Source organism: Homo sapiens, chromosome 18 (assembly GCF_000001405.40).
Source record: "Homo sapiens chromosome 18, GRCh38.p14 Primary Assembly".
In the NCBI taxonomy this organism is placed as follows: Eukaryota; Metazoa; Chordata; class Mammalia; order Primates; family Hominidae; genus Homo; species Homo sapiens.
Window position 1 is genome coordinate 49,622,532 of NC_000018.10, and position 18,066 is coordinate 49,640,597.

The following is an 18,066-nucleotide window of genomic DNA, read 5'->3' on the forward strand; positions in this document are numbered from 1 at the left end:
CTAGTGGAACTTGGTAATGCATCCCCTCTGGCTCTAACCTGGATCGCGTCTCCTAATTGATGTCTCCAGTTAGAGACCTCTGTCCCAAGGCTTGGCTTTTAGGAGGTTTCCTTCGCATCTTTTTCTTCTGCACAATGTTCCTTCACACAGTTATAAGACCTCTTCATGCCACGCCTCAGGCCAAATGTGTTTAGAAGCTCCCTGCAAACGTGATGGACCCATTCTGAACAACTCACTCAGGGACCTGGTGCTCTCCCAGGCCCTTCCCTATTTTAAACTTGTCTGCAGCCACAGCACCCCTGCTCTGGCCCCTGACCTTCCCCCAACTTCAGTGTGTGTGACACACACGTATGCACACTCACTCTCACAACCTTCTTGCCTGGAATGCACTCCTTGGCATCTAGTCCTGACTTCTGCATTGTCAGGTTATGCTGGGACTCCATCCTCTCTCAGAACCTCAGTTCCCCCGGAGAAAACAGAAGCTTGGACCAGATGAGCTTTACTGGGATCCCCTTCAGCACTGAGATTCTTTAACTTTGTGACTATAGCCGTCCCCCCTTATCCTCAGGGGGATCCACATTCCAAGACTTTCGGTAGATGCCTGAAACTGTGGTTAGTACCACACCCTATATATGATTTTTTTCCTATACATGCATTCCTTTTTTTTTTTTTTTTTTTTCCAGACAGAGTCTTGCTCCGTCGCTCAGGCTGGAGTGCAGTGGCATGATCTCACAATCTCACTGCAACCTCCACCTCCCGGGTTCAAGGGATTCTTGTGCCTCAGCCTCCCAAGTAGCTGGAATTACAGGTGCCTGCCACCATGCCTGGCTAACTTTGTATTTTTAATGGAGAAGGGGTTTCACCATATTGGCCAGGCTGGGCTCAAACTCCTGACCTCAAGTGATCCTCCCACCTTTGCCTCCCAAAGTGATAAGATTATAGGTGTTAGCCACCGTGCCCAGCCCTATACATGCATTCCTATGGTAAAGTTTACTTTATAAATTAGACACAGCAAGAGATTAATAACAATAAATAATAAAATAGAACAATTAATATGCCAGCATCATTACTCTTGCACTTTCCGGCCATTATTAAGTAAAAAGAAGGGTTACTTGAACACAAGCACTGATACTTCATACTGACACAGTGATATGATAAGATCTGACTGCTACCCAGACAATCTGAGCCTGATGCTAAGTGACTAAAACAGGGGGCAGCCTATGCCGGACAAGAGATGATTCATGTTCCAGGTGGGATGAAGCAGGATGGTGTGAGATTTCATCACACTACTCAGAGGGCGAGAAATTTAAAACTTTTGGATTATTTCTGAAATTTTCCACTTAATATTTTTAGACCACGGTGGACCTCAGGTACTCAATGGGAGGATCTTAGAAACCATGGAAAGCGGAATCGTGGATAACAAGGAAAGCTAACAGAGGCTGGGCACGGTGGCTCATGCCTGTAATCCCAGCACTTTGGGAGGCTGAAGTGGGCAGATCATGAGGTCAAGAGATTGAGAACACCCTGGTCAACATGGTGGAATCCTGCCTCTACTAAAAATACAAAAATTAGCTGGGCGTGGTGGCATGCGCCTGTAGTCCCAGCTACTTGGGAGGCTGAGGCGGGAGAATCGCTTGAACCCGGGAGGCAGAGGTTGCAGTGAGCCGAGATCACGCCACTGCACTCCAACCTGGTGACAGTGTGAGACTCCATCTCAAAAAAAAAAAAAAAAAAAAGCTAACGGAGAATACGGACTTGGCCTCAGATACATCTGTGTTCCTGACAGCAGCAACACAGAAACTGCTGGACAGGCCGTGTAGGGTTTGTTACTCTGTCCCACTGTGAGAGCAAAAGGTCTCGATGGTGTGGGTGTCTCTGAGTACAAAGTATGCCCCAGATGAATGGAAAGAAGGCGTGTTCCAGGGGTGTACATGGAGGCCATTTCTGGGCATTGGATGACAGCAGAAGTCAGAGTCTGAGCAGAGCTCTTCACTTTAGATGATGCCAGTGACCTTGGGATCTGCAATCTCACGCCATAAGCCTCTGCTCTCTTGTCTTAGCTTCTTATTCTGTAAAAATGGGGAGAATCTGTGAGGTTAACTATGGTAGTGTGGTGTGAGTGCCTGTCATATAAAGGGCACTCAGTAGGTATCAGTTTTCTGACCTCCTTCTGCCCATCCTTCCTTCCCTACACATTCTCAGGGAAGACAGTTTCCCCTTGACTCAGCACCAAGTTTGAGACAAGTAATCTTCTCACTTTGTGGGACAGATATTTTCTTGTTCCACCTTTCCGCTCGGGTTTAGCCCTTTAGAGACCCAGCATAAAGTTTCCTGTCTGACTACCCACTTTGGGATGGCCCCAACCTTCGTTTCCATGTTCTCCAGCTTCACAACCTCTCTCACCGATTTCCATCATCGACCAGTCCTGACCTTGTGGGTGAGAGGGAGTGCTTCCCTCTCAGGGAGGCATGGCCTCCCTGGCCAAAATGTAAACTTGTTCATTTCAGGAATTATTTTTTCTCCTCTTAAAGGCCCTGCCACGTGTGACTCAGACCCAGGGTTGTTCCTGAGCGAGACCTCAGTGGTAAATCACAAGGACTGGGCTCCAGCCCACACAGATGCTATCCTCTTTCTTCTGTGACTGTGTCTTAGCTTAAGTAGAAAAAAACAGAGAAACAAAGGCACTGTCTCATTCTGCGCAGCTGTTGTGCCCAGGGGTACTGGTCTAAGCCTCACTCTTCAAATCCCTTTGCAGCAGAAGGTAGAAGAATTTAGGCAAATAGAAGCTCCAAAGAAAATAAGGTCATGGTTTAATGACCCCAGGCTTGTCTTGAATGAGCCAGTGGGTGACGGATTTCCACATTACCTCTGGCAGGTGAGGTTCATGGGCAAACACATTAAACAGGAATGAGAATAGCATTCAGATTTCCATCATTAAATATCCATAATATTTGATCTTGTGAAAATAAACAACAAAGTGCTAGAAGAGAGGTCCTATGGAATAGCGAAAGTTGATTCATCTGGGCCAAAGGTGACCAGCTAGTGTGGCCAAGAGCGTGACAGCAGGAATTCAGGCTGCACGATGCTTCTCTGGGAGTGAATCTAGTTTGCCCAGTCTGTGTTCTGGGCCCAGAGTGTGTCCTTAGAGGGCGGCCCGTGGCCTGAACAAGAGCATTGCGGATTTGCCTGCAACCTCACCTAAATCCAGCAATTCTGAACTCGGAATAGGGAAACACGGCATCCGATTCCCAGGGGAGCTTGTGAAACACACACACACACACACACACACACACACACACACACACACACACATTTCCCTACCCATGTGGTTGTGTCTTGGTAGGACTGTAGTGTGGCCTGAGAATCTGCATGTTTACTGAACTCACCAGGTGATTCTGCCACATAGCCAGGTACAGGAACCACAGCTCTAACCCAGCATGAAGTGATCGGCGGTGGATACATCAACTTCCAAATTGGCCCCCATTCTGTTCCCTCTCTGTGCTTCTCCACTGCTTCTCAGCTGCCACGCTACGCTCTGTGTGTGTGCCCGTACGTGTGTGCATGCTCAAGAGTGTACAGTTCTCAGATCCACCCTCCCTACAATGAATGAAACTCTCCCACAGCCCTTCCCTGCCAGTTTTGAGAATCACTGCTTTCCTCATTTCCACGTCTCAGGCTGCATAGGAGAGGAAGTTCATCTGTGTGTGCACCGGGCTTTGGGATGCTGTTCCTTTGTTGGAGGGAGCAGAGCCCTTCCATGGCCTTGGGGGACATTTGGAAATGAAAGGAAAAGGTGCACCCCAGAGGTGGGGCTGTCTCTGGCCTGGACACGTGCTCTGTGGACCAACAGTTTTGCCATTGATAGGTGGTCTTACAGGGGGTTGTATAAAATTCCTCCGGAAATGCTGGGCATGGTGGCTCACGCCTGTAATCCCAGCACTTTGGGAGGCTGAGGCAGTTGGATCACAAGGTCAGGAGATCGAGATCAGCTTGACCAATATGGTGAAATCGTATCTCTACTAAAAATACAAAAATTAGCCAGGCATGGTATCGCATTCCTGTAATCCCAGCTACTTGGAAGGCTGAAGCAGGAGAATCGTTTGAACCTGGGAGGCGGAGGTTGCAGTGAGCCAAGATTATGCCATTGCACTCCTGCCTGGGTGACAGAGCAAGACTCTGTCCCCCCCCCCAAAAAAAAATCCTCTGGAAAGAAAGGTGCCGCGTTAGCTGTGAGGTGTGCCCACAGTGCCAGCCCACAGGGGCTGCTTTCTGCTTCGGGTCCTTGCCCCTTCCTGGGAATGCATGGGTAATAAAAGGAGCAGAACTGGCACTCAGCTCAGTCACTGATGACAGATGACGCTGCTTACACAGTGGGAAGGGCTCTGAGCCAGGGTGGAAGGGCCCACACCGTGCCTTGGGGGATTTACTGTTGAGGAAAAACTCGGGGGCCTTTTGTCCCTAGGGGTGCCCCAGAAAGCCTCCTCAACCCTGTTTCTCCAGGCCCACAGGCACGCCTTGCCCACTCCACATGCTTGCCTCTAGGCCAGTCCCTGCCCACTCCTCTTCCCTTGATGTTCTGTGCTCCAAGTCCCCTCTCCTTTGCCTCAGAAGACAAGCATGGGCCTCTTGTCACCTGAAGGGCTTCCTGCCCTTGCCACAGGGAGGACAGAGGTGTGTAATGGCACAAAGGGGGCATTGCAGAGCATGCGCCTTGCCTGGGTTGCCCCCAGCGTGGCCCCTGGCTCCTGACTTCCTTCCGAGATTGAAGAAGGAAGTCATGTGCACAGAGGTCAGTAACAGCCCTACCAGCCCCGGCTCCCTGTGTCAAAAATGCAACAGCTCACACCTCACTTGTCTTTCCACATCTTCTTTCCTGCCTGTCTATTCTTCTATCCTGCTGACTTTTATTTTTATTTTTTATAAAGTCCAATTAATCAATTTTAAAAAATAGATTGTACTTTTGGTGTTGTAACTCTTTCTCGTGCACTCACTCTCTCACTTTCTCGCTCGCTCTCTCTTTGAGACAAGGTCTTGCTCTGTTGCCAGGTTGAAGTGCAATGGCATGGTCATGGCTCACTGCAACCTCGACTTCCTAGGCTCAAGTGATCTTCCCACCTCAGCCTCCCGAGTAGCTAGAACGACAGGTGTGTGCCACCATACCTGACTAATTTTGATTTTTGTGGAGATGGAGTTTCACTATGTTGCCCAGGCTGGTCTTTAACTCATGGCCTCAAGTGATTCTTCCACCTCAGCCCTCCAAAGTGCTGGGATTATGCATGAGCCACTGCACCCATCCTCGGTTGGCTTTTTGAGCCTCTTTCTCTTTGTTTCCCCTTTTGGATCAATAGTGAACACGTGGGGGCTACCCTGCATTCTGATGTGGCCAATCCCTGGTCCTGGCCCCCTAGATTAATGCCCTGAGTCAATCAGCCATCCTCCAGACCATCCTCAATCTTATCCCTGGTCCTGGCCCTATCCTTTGAATCTTGCTGACCTGAGTGGAGGAAGTAGACAGGGAAGGAATCTAGCTGGGGAGGAGGAAGGAGAGGGCTTCTTCCTTGCCTCCACTCAACAGCTCTCTTTGCTATGTCCTTCGAGTGCTCTCTGATTAAGACGGCCTGGCTCAGGCCCCTCTTATACCCTGTTGCTCTCAGCATTTACATATCATGGCCATGACTTTGCAGGTTGACAGGAAACCAAAGCTTCATGTGAGCACATTCTATCATCCCAGTTAGATCAAAGAGGGCAGGAGATGCACCCTGCACTCACTAGTGCCCTGCACACTGGCAGAAGTCCAGCTGCTTGGCTAACTGGTTACTCCTGGTGAGACATTTCCTGGCTTCCTGGGAGGCACTGAAGGCAGTTTCCACCAGAGGCTTGGTCTCCAGGAAAGCCAACGCAAAGAAGAGCTAGCTCTCTTGGTGGGAAGAATTCCTGGGCTTATAAAGGAAGCATTTCAATGACCAAAGCACTCTGTTTACTCATTCATTTATTCTTTCATTCATTAATTCCTAGTAGGCCTACTCAGTGCCAATCTAGGTAATACACAGTCCCTGGGAGCTTACCATCTTGTTGGGAAGATGAGACTTGAAACAATGGGACAAGGCAAATAAGATTAAATGCCCCAGATACTTGATTTGAATCATGGATTGAGGAGGTAAGAGAAGAATGGTGGGGCTATAGGAGAGGGTAGGTGCTCTCTAGGAAGCAAGCGGTTTCCCAGCCCTGGAAGAAAGGGTAGGATTTAGACATGTAGATGAGAACATGGAAGACCTTCCAGACACAAGAAATGAGCAAAACCTCGGTGTTTTGCAGTGAGAGCAGAGGGCATTCTGGGGCAGTGGAGGGAGCTTGAAGAAATCAGTGTGGGTTCTGTGCTGCTGCCCTGGATGCAGCAGGCCGGTGGGCCATGCTGGCCATTCCAAGCCTTGTCTGGGAATTGCTCTGGTAACCAAGAATGCACTGAGAGTGACGGACGTGCTGAGGCTGCACTCCCCTCTTCCCATGCCCTATGAGCAGGCCCAGGCGGGGCCGAGGCCCCATCCAAACCACTCTTGTCTTGGTTCCGGCCCAGAAGTAGCAAGAGAAGCTGGAAAGGCAAAGCTTCTTGATTTCCACTGCTTTCTGAGCTGGCCAGGTGGAAGGCAGCCAGGGAGGAGCAGCTGGCGACAGCCCGCCTGACTGCCTCGGATGGCAGGCAGCTACTCAAGGGAACAATTGGGCAGAAGCAGGGGGCAGGGGGGTCAGGGAACATGGACCAGTGGAATTCTGAACAAGGTCAAAGTCCAATTTGGTACAGTGCTTGATTACCAATTTAAATCTCATCTTTCCTTCCAGAGTGGCTGCCCCCTGCAGGAGAGGCCAGGGCTGCCACAGGGGAAATTTGCATTTTAGGATTCCAAGTGCAGGGTGCCCTGGCAGGGCTGTACTCAGCCGGCGGTCCAACGGGTGCTCGCCCTTGCACCTGGCAGTCGCATGTTGAATATGCTCCTATTTTCCCTACTTCTGGCTGCCTGTATGCTTGGGAAACAAACACAAAACGAAAAACTCTTCTTACCTCTTGCAGTCAGGGGAGGATCCCAAAGCATGCAGGGTGGGAGGTGGTGGGGTCTAGACAGTGGGTAGTGATCGTAGGTTTTTCACACCTGAGGCTGGAAGAAAGTGCTAAGGGATTGGCAGTCAAATGGGCAGCAGGGCACTTAAGGGGGTGATGTGGAATGGAGCCCATAGAAAGAGGCAGGAATCTGGGGTGCAGTGGTGGCTCAAGGGTGGGTTCTACAGAAATGGTTGATCGATTGATTCCAGGCATGTAATTCGGTTTGAAAACAAGCTCCTCTTTGAGACTCTTCCCTTGGGGCAGTTGGTTCTCAGTCTTTGACTTCACCTGGGATGCTTTTGAAAATATTAATGCCTAATTGTTAATGGCCTGGAAATTCTTTCCTACTTTATTTTATTCATCCATTCATTCTCATCAAGAAAGCAAACCTATGCTTTTTAAAATTTTTAATTTTTGCTCCTAAAAAAGCAAACCCAAACCTGCAAATTCTGATTTAGCAAATCCACAACTTCTGTCTCTTCCCATCAACACCAGTACCTCTACCACCATTACCACCATCCCAAGGTAAGGTGTGGAAAGCTCCTCTGCCCTGGCATGTCCTACAGAACTCCCTGGGGTGGGTCTTTTTGTTACCCCTTTACCATTAAATCAACACACATTTATTGGGTACCTAAGTGTTGGTGAGAATGGCTGCACAGCCTAAAGTCTAGGCTGCTTTTGGTGTTTGGTTTCTTTCAGCTGTATAGGACTTTCTGTGAGAAGAGGGAGTATGTGGTGCAATTTGTTCATGACATCAGAGTTCATGGGGACAATGACCTGCTTGCAGAGAGTTTGCTTGCTGGCATATCCAAAGGCAATGCCTGTTGCAATCTTTTAGCTGCTGTGGGGCTGGGCATCAGGACTGGATTACCCAACACCCTGTGACCAGGAGCCTTGTGGGTACACACACACACACACACACACACACCCCCACACCCTTCCTTACCTGAGGCACCTGAAGATACATTTTGTGCATCCTGCAGTTAAGTTGATGGTCAACCAGGCCTAGCTGGCCCAGACTCCATCTGAGTAATCCTGGGACTCATGGAGTGCACTTAGATTTATTGTGGGCCCCAGGGGTTCATCACTCTCCCCTTTTCAGGTGACAATGGGGACAGAAGCTGCCGTGATGGGGACCCTCTGTTATCTTTTCTTGTCTGACTGGAAGGAGAAAGGAATGCCTGAAATCAGCCTATTGCAGAGGACAGTGGGCTCCCTCAGGACTCAGAGTCCTCAGGCTCTCACTGGTGTCCATGGCTGGCAGGATGTCTGGGAGGCTACTCAGAGATGGCCACTAGATAACCAGGCTACATATGATATTTGCTGGGACACGTTCCCCACGTGGAAACTCCAGCCCCACCCAGTCCCATTTGCCACTCACCTTGGAAGTGTTAGGAGCTTTTGTGGGGGCACATTTAGGCCCCACTGCAGATCAGAAATCCTCAGTAGCTCCAGGGGCCCACAGCGTAAAGCCCAGAGGCCTTCGGGTGCCATCCAGGACATTTTGTCATCTCCTCCCAACTGTCCTCTCCAGCCCCTTCTGCCTTTCCTCTCCCTTGGATCTTCTGCTCAGACTGGCCCCCTCTCTGCCCACCTCACCCCTGACTCACCTAGGATGTTCCCCAGGCCTTTGACCCCATGTGCCGTTAGTACCGAAGGTGGGGGAGCACTCGCTTTCTCCCTGGATGCCCACCAAATCCCGCCACACATTCTAGGACCAGTTCTAGGAAACCTGCCTCCACTGGGAGTGATTTCTGGGCGTTTCTCCAGGGTGGTGCCTTGTATTAATCACCTCTGCATCTGCAGTGGTTGGTATGGTGTGAAGAAGACTCTCAAGAAGCCCTGGCTGGATCAACACTCGCACACGAATGATCTCTGTCCTTCCTGCAGCACTCTGCCTTAGGTGTGCTTGTTTGCATGTGCGTGTATCATCTTAACCACCTCATGAGCTCACGGAAGGCACAGCCATGCATTTCACTCCTCTACGACCTCACAGGCAGCCGGACCTCTTGTGCATGCAAGTGTTCTGTGATAGATGTGTTCTGATGATAAGGAAGACAGACATTGAAAGTAGCTTTCTTTCTGCTCCCTGATTTGGACCCTGGGCTCCAGCCAAGCCTGTTTCTTCACTGTCCCTGTCACATGCTCCCTGCTCCCCTGGGCGATCACATTTGCTCATTCTGTACTCTAGTCCCTACTTTTGTCCCCAGTCCTGGTTATTGTCCCCAAGGTCAGACTGAACCCCACCTCATCCATAATCCCCACCTCCAGATCTCTTGGGACCGGAAGACTGCAAAGATGCTCAGTTCACCAACTGGAGTACCCAAGCAATACCATAGTTCTTCCTTTTCTGTAAAATGGCTCAATGCTGACTTCACATCCCCATCATACTGGGCTGTCCAGAAATTCAACCCAGGTCTTTCTTTGGTCACCCTCTGGTCCCCCACTGGGTTGGCTAAAGGCTCCCAGCCCCTCTTGCCATGGGTCCTTACTGGTCACAGTGGAGGATGCCCCTGCCTGGCAGGTGTGGCCTCTGTGGATCTACTGTGCTGTGTCTTGCTGGTCACCTTTGAGTTACGGGCTTCTGTGGTGAGCCCAGTGCCCAAGGTCCAGCCTCCCTGCTGTGCCATAAAAGCCATTCCTTCTGAGAGCCTCTCAGTGTGAGGTGCTTTCGGGGAGCAGGTTGTAAGTTTCTATTGATTTGGGGACCCACAGGCCACTCCCTAATTACTGATTTTAGTCTAGGAACATCCCACTCCTCAAGTCCCGTTCTCCTCAACTTTGGAAAGTTCAGACACCCCGCTGCAAAATTCTCCCAGGCAAGGAAATTGAAGCCACCACCTGTGAGAGCTGGGGAAGGCAAGGGCAAAGACAAAAGAGGGGCATGGGCACTAGTTCAAAAATTCCTGTGCCTGGCCCCTCTCTTCTGAGCTCCATTTGTATTAATAAACACTCTTTGAGTGCTCTTTACTTTTTAAATGCAATACTCTTGTCCCGCGAATGAAAGTGTAAATCCTGTGAGATCCATTCCCTGGTGGATGAGACCTATTTTCTCATATTTCCTCCTTAGCAACTCGTGCAGAGCTAAGTGCACGGTAAGGGAGTGTCAGGGCTTGTTGGCTGACTCTTGTGTCCAGAGCTCATCAGAGAATGACTCCGGCTCTGCTCCAGCTTCTTTGAAAGCGAGGCTTTTGCCTCGGCAGCCCTCACTGCTTCCTGTCCTCAAGAAGACATCAGCTCTACTCATAGCTGCCTCTCCTCCCCAAACTCTTCCTGCCTGTGGTCCTCTCCCACCAGCCCCACGATGTTCGCCTTGTCCTGGAGTGGGGGAAGACAGCCCACAGCAAAGAGACACGCTTCCTTCTACATCCTGGCTGGGATGCAGAACTGAGTGATGCCAGTCCCAGCCCCTTGTGCGGTAGGAAGGCTGCAGGTCCTTGGGAGAAGTTTTGAAATCCCTTTCTCTTCCTCTCCTGGTGGGACTGAGATATTGATAAAAAGTCTCAGCAATAAGGGGAGAGAACACAGCGAAGGAGAGGTCTGTAGTCACAGCTAATCTCAGGCTAGTTCTAGGCATTCTTCCTTCCTTCATCCTTTGAGCCTGACCTCCCTCCATTCCCTCCCGCCTTTCTTTCAAACTCACCTTGACTCTCTATTCCCAGCTCCCCAACTCAAGTCATCAATGTTAACAGACTAGTGCCCATCCCACTACACCTTTCTTCATACATGTGCACACAATCATACAAACTCATCTATAGGTTAACTCATGGTGGTGTATTTTTTTTTAAATAACATCATTCTATATAGACTTTCTGTATCTTGCTATTCTTGCATAACAATGTCATATTAAAATCCCTCCAGGTTAACTGGCATAAATAGTATGCCTTTTTAAATGGCTAAATACTATTCCTTGAAATGGCTACACCACCATTTATTAAACAGGTTTCTATTGATAGGCCATCAGACTGGTTTCTGTTTTATGCAATATAAACAATGCTTCTGTGTTGATTTTTTTTTTTTTTTTTTTTTTTTTTGAGATGGAGTTTCGCTCTTGTTGCCCAGGCTGGAGTGTAATGGAGCAATCTCGGCTCACTGCAATATCTGCCTCCTGGGTTCAAGCAATTCTCCTGCCTCAGCCTCCCGAGTAGCTGGGATTATGGCGCCCACCACCACACCCAGCTAATTTTTGTATTTTTAGTAGAGAAGGGGTTTCACCATGTTGGCCAGGCTGGTCTCAAACTCCTGACCTCAAGTGATCCACCAGCCTCGGCCTCCCAAAGTGCTGGGATTACAGGCGTGAGCCACCATGCCCAGGCAATTGGTGCTTTTTAATGCTATGGAATAGATTCCCATACATGATTTCTGATTAAAGGGAATGCATGAAGGTACGATTTAGGTACAGTAAAATTAACCCATGTTCATGTAGATTTCTGCAAGTTTGCACAGACACATACAGATCATAACCAACACCATAATCAAGATACAGAACAGGTCCATAACCTCAGAAAGTTACTTTTTTTTTTTTTTGTAGTCAATTTCTTCTCCATCTCCCACCCTTGAAACCACTGATCTGTTTCTATAGTTTTGCCTTTTCTAGATTGTCATAGAAATGGAATCACAGAGTAGACTTTTGAGTCTGGCTTCTTTCACTTAGCATGATAAGATCCATCCACAACAAGACTCATTCATTCATAACAAAATTCATCCATATCATTCATTTATAAAACGATTCACATTGTTGCAAATATCAGTGATTTGTTTCCTTTTATTCTGACTAGTATTTTACTCTATGGATGTACTAATGGATTATTTATCCATTCCTCAGTTGAGAGACACTTGTGTTGTTTCCATTTTTTGACACTTAAAATAAAACTGCTATAAACATTCATGTAAAGTTTATTTATGTGGATGTATGGTTTCATTTCTCTTGGTTAAATTTCTAGAAATAGGATTGCGGGGTTGTATGCTAAGTATATATTTAATTTTACAAGGAACTGCCACCTGTTTTCTATGGCTGTACCACTTTGAATTCCCACCAGCAGTACATGTTGTTCTGTGTCCTTGATAGCACGTGGTGTTGTTATTTTGATTTTAGCCATCCTAGTGTTTACTGGTATCTCATTGTGGATTTAATTTGAATTTCCCTAATGACAAGTGTCATCAAACATCTTTTCCTGTGCTTAATTGCCATCTATGTTTCTTCTCTTTCTCAAAGATTCTTTTCAAACCTTTTACCTTTTTTCTTTATTCAACTGCTTGTTTTCTTATTTGAGAATTCTTTATGTAACCTGGATACAAGTTATTTATGTGTTTGCAAATATTATTTTCCAGTGTGTAGCCTGTTTTTTTTTTCATCCTCTTAAGTGTGCTTTTAAAAAGTTTTTAGTAAAGTCTAACAACAATTTTTGTCTTCTCTGGATCATAGTTTTGATACAGCACCTGAGAAATATTTGCCTAACACAAAGTCATGGAGATTTTCTTGTATGTTTTCCTCTGTGTTTTATAATTTTAGGTTTATAGTTTTTGATTTTATACTTTGGCATATGATTCATTTTTAAAGTGAATTTTTGAATAAGGTAGGCTGCATGGGTTGAGGTTAATTCATTTGCATATGGACATCCAATTGTTTGACAACATTGGCTAAAAGGATCATCTTTTCTCATTGAGATGACTTCATACCTTTGTAAAAAATCAACTGACCATATTTGTTTGGGTCTATTTCTGGACTTTCTAATTTTTTCCATTAATATATATGTCTATGCTTTCTCTAATACCAGATATTTTTTAGTGTATTTTTTTTTTTTTTTTTTGAGACGGAGTCTCGCTCTGTCGCCCAGGCTGCAGTGTAGTGGCGCGATCTTGAGTTACTGTAAGCTCCGCCTCCTGGGTTCACATCATTTTCCTGCCTCAGCCTCCTGAGTAGCTGGGACTACAGGCGCCCGCCACCACGCCCAGCTAATTTTTTGTATTTTTAGTGGAGACAGGGTTTCACCATGTTAGCCAGGATGGTCTCAATCTCCTGACCTTGTGATCCACCCGCCTCGGCCTCCCAAAGTGCTGGGATTACAGATGTGAGACACCGTGCCTGGCCTTAGTGTACTTATTTTTAATTTTAATAAATATATTTTTATAAAGTATTGTTCAATTGCTTTCCAAATAGGCTGACCGATTCTTCTTTTCAATAGAATATATGAAAGTGTCCTATTCCTACATATTTTTGAGCAAAGGGTATCATCACACATTATTTTTTGCCAGTATCCTGGGTTAGAAGTATCTCAGCATTACTTCAATTCTGAATATTTTCTTTTAATTAGTCCTCTATATTACACTGGGGTAGAGAGAGGCAGAAGGAAAGAGCAGAGGTGAAGTTAAGCTTACAACATAAGCCTACTGTGACCCACAGTTTGTGCTAGGTCTTTTTTTCTATGTTAGATTTTATTTTTAATTTGAACACTTTTTTGATTTAATTTTTTTGTGTTAAAATATATATAACATAAAATTTACCCTTTTAACCATTTTTAAGTGTACAATTCAGTGGCATTAAATACCACACTCACATTGTTGTGCAACTGTCACCACTATCCATTTCTAGAACTTCTTTTTCATGATCCCAAACAGAAACTCTAGAACTTTTTCATGATCCCAAACAGAAACTCTAGGACTTTTTCATGATCCCAAACAGAAACTCTCGAACTTTTTCACGATCCCAACAGAAACTCTAGAACTTTTTATGATCCCAAACAGAAACTCTGGAACTTTTTCATTATCCTAAACAGAAGTTATTAAACAATAGCTCCCATTTCCTTCTCACTCCAGTCCCTGGTAACCTGTACTCTACTTTCTGTAGACAGTGTAGGTGTAACAATAGGGTTTTTTTTTTCTCTACACATTCAGAGAAATTTCTCTAGTAACGAACCTAGAAATAATCCTGAAATTATAGTATTGACAACAGGATTTTGGCAGGTTGAGAAATGTGCTCTCAACAATCAGCCACAAAATATGGAGTGCTGGGAATGTCTGTTTTTGCTTAGAACCTCTCCAAGTCTAGCTTTCCTCACCTGAAAGGTCCTGCCTAAATCACATTTATAGTGAGAACACAACCATACAGACATAGAGAGCTATATGCACATTATGAACCTTTGTTTTATACCAAAAAATTTGTGACTAGATTGACGCTATATAAATAAAATTTTATTTTGTTTTATTTAAAAATTCTTTTTGAGACAGTGTCTCCCTCTGTTGCCCAGGCTGGAGTGCAGTGGCGCGAGCTCACTGCAACCTCCACTTCCTGGGCTCAAGCGATTCTCCCACCTCAGTCTCCCAAGTAGCTGGGACTTCAGAAGTGAGCCACCACAGCTTGCCTTTTTTTTTTTTTTTTTTTTTTTTTGAGATGGAGTTTCACTCTTGTTGCCCAGGCTGGAGTGCAATGGTGTGATCTCGGCTCACTGCAACCTCTGCCTGCCAGGTTCAAGCGATTCTCCTGCCTCAGCCTCCTGAGTAGCTGGGATTATGGCACCTGCCACCATGCCTGGCTAATTTTTTGTATTTTTAGTTGAGACAGGGTTTCACCATGTTGGCCAGGCTGGTCTCAAACTCCTGACCTCAAGTGATCCACCTGCCTTGGCCTCCAAAGTGCTGGGATTACAGGCATGAGCCACTGCGCCTGGCCTCCGCTAATTTTTTTGTATTTTTTGTAGAGACGGGATTTTGCCATGTTGCTCAGGCTGTAAAATTCTGTTTTAGATGGGCTAAGGGAGTTATCTCTTTGGAGAAGTCCTGTAATTAATTCTTTTGTTAAATGGAGGATTGCTCACCATTGTGTCTGCTTTGAATATTCAACTATTAATACATTTTGATATGGTTTGGATGTTTTTGGATGTGTGTTCCCTCCAAACCTCATGTTGAAATGTGATTCCCAATGTTGGAGGTGGGGCCTGGTGGGAGGTACTGGATCATGGGGACGGATCCCTCATGAGTGGCTTAGCACCATCCCCGTGGTGATGAGTGAGTTCTCATCAGTTAGTTCATGCCAGATCTGGTTGTTGGAAAGAGTCTAGGACCCCTCCTCTCTCTTGCTCCTGCTCTCACCATGTGATGTGCTGATCCCACTTTACCTTCTGCCATGAGTGTAAGCTCCCTGAGGCCCCACCAAAAGTCAGGAAGATGCTGGCACCATGCTTCCTGTACAGCCGTCAGAACCTTACATCAATTAAACCTCTTCTCTTTATAAATTACCCAGCCTCAGGTATTTCTTTATAGCAATACAAGAATGGCCTAACACATTTGTTTTTTTCTAAGGACCAACTAAACAGAACACTCACTGGCTGACTTTCATGAAAGCAGATGGGGGATTGAGACCAGAGTCTAACAGGATCAGACAGTGATTGGCCCATGGCAGACTCTGGGCCATATTAGGGGTGCCACCATGTACCCCCATGCTCAGACAGTGCTTGGCCCATGGCAGATCTCCTGCAGAGGCATTTGTGAAGGACTGGATGCTGGCTTACCTGTCAGGCATTATTCCTTGTGGGTATTACTTCAAGTAATTCTTACAAGAGTGTTGTAAGTTTTATATTGTTATTATTTATTTTCTACAGAAGAATTGGAAAGCAGTGCTCAGGGCCTCTAGGAGTTGACCTGAGGCTGTTAAGTGAGATCTATTTACAGGACTTGTGGCTAATAGGAGTTTAGAAACTTCTTTTGGGCTCTACACAGCCTGACTGTCAAAGGTGTATTTTTCACTGTCCAAAGTCTGAAAGTCAGGCTCTGTTGAAGGACATGCTTGTGACATCAAGTGGGAAACAATGGTGGTCATTCTTGGGGGCAGAGTGGTGTTGAGAAAGGAGCTCCGAATTGGAAGTCCAAAATCTGAGAAACAAGTGTGGGACAGCCCTTAGCATCTGTTCCACACTCTGCTCCTGATGGCTGTCGGGAGCCTTATCTCAGTCCAGGCTTCCCTACCAGAGGGATTTGTGACCTGGGCAAGTCCTTTTATCTTTTAGGCAATTGTCCAGCACTTCCTCCCTGCCTCTAGACCAATGGAAACTGAATTTCTAGGAGGAGTCCACGTCTATGTTTTTAAAAGTCCCCAGGAGATTCTAGTGCTCACAGGGTTGAGAACCAATGGAAAGGGGAGGAATCTGGAGGCCTCGAGTGCTGAGATGGGAAGGGAACCCCCAAGGAAATCTCAGGGAAGACAGGGGAAGGCTTCAGGGGATACAGGCTGACTGCACCCAGTTGTAATTATGCCCTGGGTAGGGACTGGGTTGGGGATGGGGATACCACACTTTGTAGCAGGAAAGAACATTCCCAGAGACTTGTCATGGACCTCTGCGACCTGGCACGCCTCCCAAGCCTACCTTCTTTGCCCTGCTCCCCAGCTGCACCCAGTTCTCAGCTGGGCCCCCCAGTGGGAGGCCTGGGCAGGCCTCACCATCTGCTAGAAGCCTCCCTGCGTGTAGGCCCTGCTGGTCTTCCTGGAGGCTGACCTCCCCTGCAGGCGTTGGGACCATTTAGTGTGACACCTTATCCTTGGTATTACCCACATTCTAATTGTCCTATCCACCTGTATCTGTCTCTTGTGTGTTTTTTTTGTCCTTGAGATCTGGGACAGAGTCCTGCAGTGCAAACAGCATGGGCCTTGGAGGCCCCCACACCTGCACGTGCATTGTCACTTATTAGCAGTGTCACTTTCAGCAAATGATTAACCAAAGCCTCCTGCCCTCATCCTTAAAATGGGAACAATGCTGTCTTCCTTTGAGGTTGTTGTGAAGATAACACGAAGCAATGTACATAATGTCCTTGGCACACAGTAGGTGATCGATACATACATGTTGATTAACCAAGCATTTGGATAATCATTGCCGTAATTATAACCAACATTGGGGAACATTTTGCCTGTCTTTTCACAGAATAAACCTGTGAGTTTTTATTAGTCTTGTTTTGTACACATGGGAAACGGGGTTCAGATAAATTAGAAGGACTCAAGGCACACTACGCAGGAGATGCAGGACTGGGGGTGCACCCAGTTCTTATCCCCTCAGATCCTCTGCCTTCTCTACCCTATTGCTCCCTGGGTGGACATGATAGGTGTAGGGTCAGCTGTCGCTGCTTTGGCTCTGTGAGAGCACCACCTGTGGTTCCCAGCTCCCCACCTGGTCCTTCCAGCAGAACTCAAGCTTGGGAAGCTTGGCCAGTGCGCACAGCTGCAGGGGGCATGGGGAAGGGCCCTGTCATGTTTGCCGCAGCCTCTGGTCATGTTCTGATGTTTTCTGCTGTGTTATGGATGCACGCCACTCCTGTTCACGTCGCTGAGCAGGGATGGGGCACTGTAAGCCCTTTCCTTCTCGGTGCTATCCAAGCCTCACATCTGAGCTGCCAGCGTGGTTTGAATCATCACGTTTTTAGTGACGGTGCTGTTCTCTTAAAGGCAAGGGTGGAGATGAGGAGGGTGAGGGAGGCTGGAAGAGGGAGGAGGAGGAGAATGATGGTGTTGGGGCCTTTCTGGAAAGGAACTGAGGAAACAGGAACCTCCTGTTCTTCTGCTCCGGCTGGCCCAAGGCCACCGTGATGAGAGGCTGATGAGATCCAACTCTGAGTCAGCAGAACCCAGAAAGGTCCCTGTGGGTCCCCTGCTGACTCACCATGCCCCTTCCTCACAGGCTCTGACCAGCAGTGCATGGAGTGGCCAAGCTGCAGTGTCCAGGCCGGGTCCTGACTTCCTGGGCCATGGGGAGGAAGCTGAGGAATTGAAGGACACTCAGGATTCACTGAAGGGGCTTCCCAGATTTTGGTCATAGCCGCAGCAATGATCTCATGGGATTTTTTCCTCTTTACATTTTATCCAGAACAGAAAAGATTGCTCCACCCTTACAATCCTGCCTCCATTGCCAACCTTTTTCCTCCCCCTGCCCTGGCTGTGCCACCTGGTACAGCAGCGTCTGTTGCAAAGAGGGTGCCCTCACATTGGG

The 18,066-nt window shown here is 47.3% G+C and overlaps 1 long non-coding RNA gene across 1 annotated transcript in view, besides 1 other annotated feature; it reads left to right on the top strand.

Annotated features, from left to right (window-relative positions):
- Positions 1-18,066, top strand: part of LOC105372112 (uncharacterized) — a 127,792-nt gene that overhangs the window by 9,840 nt on the left and 99,886 nt on the right. The gene's annotated exons all lie outside the window — the stretch shown is intronic.
- Positions 15,985-16,185: a silencer, noted in NCBI's record as "peak3145 fragment used in MPRA reporter construct". NCBI's record gives its function as "represses an SCP1 promoter by STARR-seq MPRAs in K562 erythroleukemia cells {active_cell/tissue: K562}" and the evidence as "EXISTENCE:reporter gene assay evidence [ECO:0000049][PMID:32103011]".